Raw genomic sequence first — 4,813 nt, 5'->3', positions numbered from 1 at the left:
AATTAAAAGGGCAAACAGGTCGGACCAGATTGTGGTGCCATTTTTAGGAGCGGCCATTGTTGAGCCTCCGGCTCCCATTCCTCTTGTTTGGCTAACTGCCAAACTGGTTTGGGTGGAGCAATGGCTGCGGAAACAGGAAAAACTGGAGGCTTTAAAAGAACTGTTGCAGGAACAATTGCAAGAGGGACATATAGAGCCTACTTTCTCCCCTTGGAATTCTCCTGTATTTGTCATTAAGAAAAAAGCTGGTAAGTGGAGAATGTTAACAGATTTAAGGGCTGTTAATGCTGTGATTCAACCCATGGGCACACTATAACCAGGGCTGCTCTCCCCAACAATGATCCCAAAATACTGGATTGAATGTGCCTTAACTCGAAATGTGACTGATGAACAACTTTATCTTTTATTTCATTCTTTACAGCAAACAATACAATAAAGGCATTCACCTTTCTGTATCACTCATATGAGAGCACATACTAACCTCCTCGGCCCTTTAACTAAACTTAATCAAAGGGCGGATGCATTGTTGTCTGCAGCCTTTGCTGATGCACAAACATTTCATTCTTTAACCCATCTTAATGCCGCAGGCATTAGAAAAAGATATGGTCTATCATGGAAACAAGCTAAAGAAATTGTGCAACACTGTTCTGCCTGCTAAGTCCTGCATCTGCCACATCAAGGACCAGGAGTTAACCGTAGAGGTTTATCTCCAAATTCCATCTGGCAGATGGATGTAACACATATTCCTGCTTTTGGAAAATTGTCCTTTGTTCATGTTTCAGTAGGTACCTATTCACATTTTATCTGGGCCACATGTCAAACAGGGTAAGCTACAGCTCATGTTAAAGGACATCTTTTATCTTGCTTTTCAGTTATGGGAATCCCCGAAAAAATCAAAACTGGTAACAGCCCAGGATACTATAGTAAAGCCATGGCTACATTTTTTCAACAATGGAATATTACCCATACTGCAGGTATTCCGTATAACTCACGAGGACAAGCAATAGTGGAAAGAGCTAATATAGTACTTTAAAAACTCAAATACAAAAGCAAAAGGGGACCAGGAATATAAGACACCGCATATGCAATTGCATTTAGCTTTATTAACATTAAATTTTTTAAGTTTACAAAAAGATCAACCCATTACGGCAGCTGAACAACTCCTGACAGGACAAAAGGAAAATAAAAAGGCTGGACAAGATATATGGTAGAGGGATGCACATACAAAGAACTGGGAAAAAGGAAAGATAATTTTATGGGGAAGAGGATTTGCTTGTGTCTCTCCAGGTGACAATCAGGTGCCTGTGTGGGTGCCCACCAAACATCTAAAGTTCTATCATGAACCACAACATCTAGTGGACCCACCTGTACAGTGCAAATTGAAGGTTTAAGGATTGCTTTTAAGCCTTGATTTGCTTTCTCTGTGCCTTCTGTTAGAAGGGGCCTGCTTCTCGTTATCAACAGTAAGTTTTGCCCCATGGTAATTAACCAAAGAGGCAGAAGCTGAGTTACAAATGCTTCAGCAATAGCATGCCTCCCAGCTACAGCCACAAACGTTTTTGCTTCTGTTTCAGTAGATTTACTAACATGGGGGTGAAGGTATGCTTGTGTTTTTGCAGGAGATGAACAAACCACGTAGGTGCCCTCAAGATGTGTACGACCATGGAACAGGAGACTGGAAGGACCCATGGATCCCAACCATGGACTGGGTTCCCCTAGTATGAGCCATGCTGAGAAAGTGCTGGAGTGCCAGGGTTTTACCTATAGATACTTAACGAACCAATGCTTTCTGACTGAACTCCTCTCTACCCTGAATACAAGAGACCCTAATAGGTAGGCAGGAGTATCATCGCCCCTATTCAGCATGAAGTTACAGAAGGTGGACCTTCATCCTTCTGCAACCCCTAGGATTAAGGGTCCTCTGTAAAAGGGAAAGGGGAAATATGTAGGAAGCATTCAAACCAGAGCGACTCCATTTTGAATAAGGGCTAAGAAAAATGAAGCTGGATCACCAACTGGCAATTAAGGGCTGCACAGCCTGTGATTGCCTTGCTCAATTAATTTTAGAAAGAGGCCACCTTATGCTAGTAATAATGATAGCTGTGGCGGTTTTTACAAAAAAGAGAAGGGGGGCATGTTGGGAGAAAAGCTGAGTGTTGGGAGAGAAGCTGAGGCAGAGCTTGCATGTGTGCTAGACTTGCTGGCTCCTTGCTTCCAGCACTGCCATTATCTCAAGTAGCCATATGTCTCTCATTCACTTGATACACTGTTTCTTTTCAAACCCCACATCCTCACCACCTGTTTCTTTGAGCACCAATAAATAGCGTGGGCTCCCAGAGCTTGGGGCCTTCGCAGCCTCACACGATGGCCCCCTGGGCCCACTTCTCTCAAACTGTCTTTTTAATCATTCCTTTGACTCCGCCGGACTTCGTCGTCCCCATGACCTGGTGTTGGGTCTGATCACCCCAACAGCAGTGGGCAAGGTGAATCCATTGGGCAATTACAGCATCTCCTGGGAAAGATAGATTCTGTAAACAGGTAATTTTAACACAACATGTTAATTGAAAAGGTAAAAATAAGCAAGCAACAGGTTTCATGGAATGGCAGAGGAAGTTGCATTAGCAAAACTTGCAGAGGATGTCTGGGGAAAAGTTTCTTGGAAGTTGTAATAGGGAACTGAGTCTTGAAGAACAAGGCATTTTGCACAATGTGTGGATGCTGTGCTCTCATAAGTCAGGGAAAACAAACCTTGTAAACAATTTGAAGAGATTTATTCTGAGCCAAGTATGAGTGACCAAGGCCCAAGGCAAAATCTCAAGAGGTCCTGAGAACATGTGCCCAAGGTGTTGGGTTACAGGTTGGTTTTACACGTTTTAGGGAGACATAAGCATCAATCTAGACACGTAAGGTATGCATTGGTTTGGTTCAGAAAGATGGGATAGGTGGATACAAAGATTTTCTGATTGGCATTTGGTTGAAAGAGTTATTATCTAAAGGCTAGGAATCAATAGAAAGGAGTATCTGGGTTAAGATAAGGGGTTGTGGAAACCAAGGTTCTTATTATGTAGAACAGATGGTAAATGTCTCTTATCAAGCCTTAAAAGGTGCCAGACTCTAGTTAATCTCTCTGGATCAGGAAAAGACCTGGAAAGGGAAGGTGATTCTCTACAGAATGTAGATTTCCCCACTAGAATGTAGATTTGCCCACCAGGGCCATTTTAAAATATGTCAGAAGAATATATTTTGGGGTAAAATACTTTGGATTTCTTTCAGGGCCTGCTCTCTGTCATGTGAAACTATACTAGAGTCACGTTGGAATTTGGTATCTTATTGCTACAAAGAGTGGGCTTTGTCAGTCTTAGGATCTCTATTTTAATGGTTTGTTTTTGTTTTTGTTTTTGTTTTGAGACAGAGTCTCGCTCTGTCGCCCAGGCTGGAGTGCAGTGGTGCCATCTTGGCTCACTGCAACCTCTGCCTCCCAGGTTCAAGTGATTCTCCTGCCTCAGCCTCCTGAGTAGGTGGAATTACAAGCGTGTGCCACCACGCCTGGCTATTTTTTGTATTTTTAGTAGAGACGGGGTTTCACCATGTTGGTTAGGTTGTTCTTGAACTCCTGACCTCCTAATCCACCTGGCTTAGCCTCCCGAAGTGCTGGGATTACAGGCATGAGCCACCGCATCTGACTTTTTCTTTTTTTCATTTCTTTTGAGAGGAGGGCTTGCTTTGTTGCCCAGGCCGGTCTTGAACTCCTGGGCTCAAGCGATCCTCTCAAAGTGCCGGGATTACAGGCGTGAGCACCACACCAGGCCTAAAATCTCTTATTTTAATGTTAATGCTGGTCAGTTGTGCCTGAATTCCAAAAGGAGAATGGTATAATGAGGCTTGTCTGATCCCCTCTTCCCATGATGGCCTGAACTGGTTTTTCAGGCTTGCTTTAGAATGGGGGTGGGGGTCTCCATTCAGTTGGTTGGGGGGCTTAGAATTTCATTTTGATTCACACAAAACTAACTCTCAGTGGAGGTCCCAACGTGGTGGGCTCTGCATCTAGCCCTCACTGATGCCAGGACTCAAACTAGGAGCAAAGGAAGAGAACCAGCAAGATGGGTTCAACAATCTAGGGAACCTGGTGCATCCCCGTCCACTAGCCCTGGGACTAGAGGTGATTTTTTTTTTTTTTTTTTGATGGAATCTCGCTCTGTCACCCAGGCTGGAATGCAGTGGCGCGATCTTGGCTCACTACAACCTCTGCCTCCTGGATTCAACTGATTCTCCTGCCTCCGCCTCCCGAGTAGCTGGGACTACAGGTGCGTGCCACCACACCTGGCTAATTTTTTTGTATTTTTAGTAGAGATGGGGTTTCACCGTGTTAGCCAGGATGGTATCTATCTCCTGACCTCATGATCTGCCCACCTTGGCCTCCCAAAGTGCTGGGATTACCAGAGTAAGCCACTGTACCCGGCTGGGACTAGAGGTCTTCTCTCACTTGCACCTGGGGATGGAGGCTAGTTGCTGTTTTTCCTAAATTAAGGCCTACCCTCTTATAATGGCTGGCCCTAACTCTGCAGCCAATATATTAAAAAAAAAAAAAAAGGCGGAGGGATTAATTAGAGCTTTTTTATTTTTTATTTTTTGACATGGAGTCTTGCTTTGTCACCCAGGCTGGAGTGTAGTGGCACAATCTCAGCTCACTGCAACCTCCACCTCCCAGTTTCATTCCTGCCTCAGTCTCCTGAGTAGCTGGGATTACAGGCACCTGCCAACATGCCCGGCTAATTTTTGTACTTTTAGTAGAGACGGAGTTTCACCATGTTGG

The 4,813-nt window shown here is 44.2% G+C and overlaps 1 annotated feature.

Moving 5' to 3' along the window:
* Positions 3,401–3,948: an enhancer, noted in NCBI's record as "NANOG-H3K27ac-H3K4me1 hESC enhancer chr1:62642659-62643206 (GRCh37/hg19 assembly coordinates)". NCBI's record gives its function as "activates a minimal SCP1, AML or CMV promoter by ChIP-STARR-seq in naive and primed H9 embryonic stem cells {active_cell/tissue: H9 hESC(naive and primed)}" and the evidence as "EXISTENCE:reporter gene assay evidence [ECO:0000049][PMID:30033119]".

The sequence above is a fragment of the Homo sapiens genome, chromosome 1 (genome assembly GCF_000001405.40).
Source record: "Homo sapiens chromosome 1, GRCh38.p14 Primary Assembly".
NCBI classification, from domain to species: domain Eukaryota; kingdom Metazoa; phylum Chordata; class Mammalia; order Primates; family Hominidae; genus Homo; species Homo sapiens.
The sequence above is the reverse complement of the archived record's forward strand: the minus strand, read 5'-3'. Positions and strand labels throughout refer to the sequence as shown.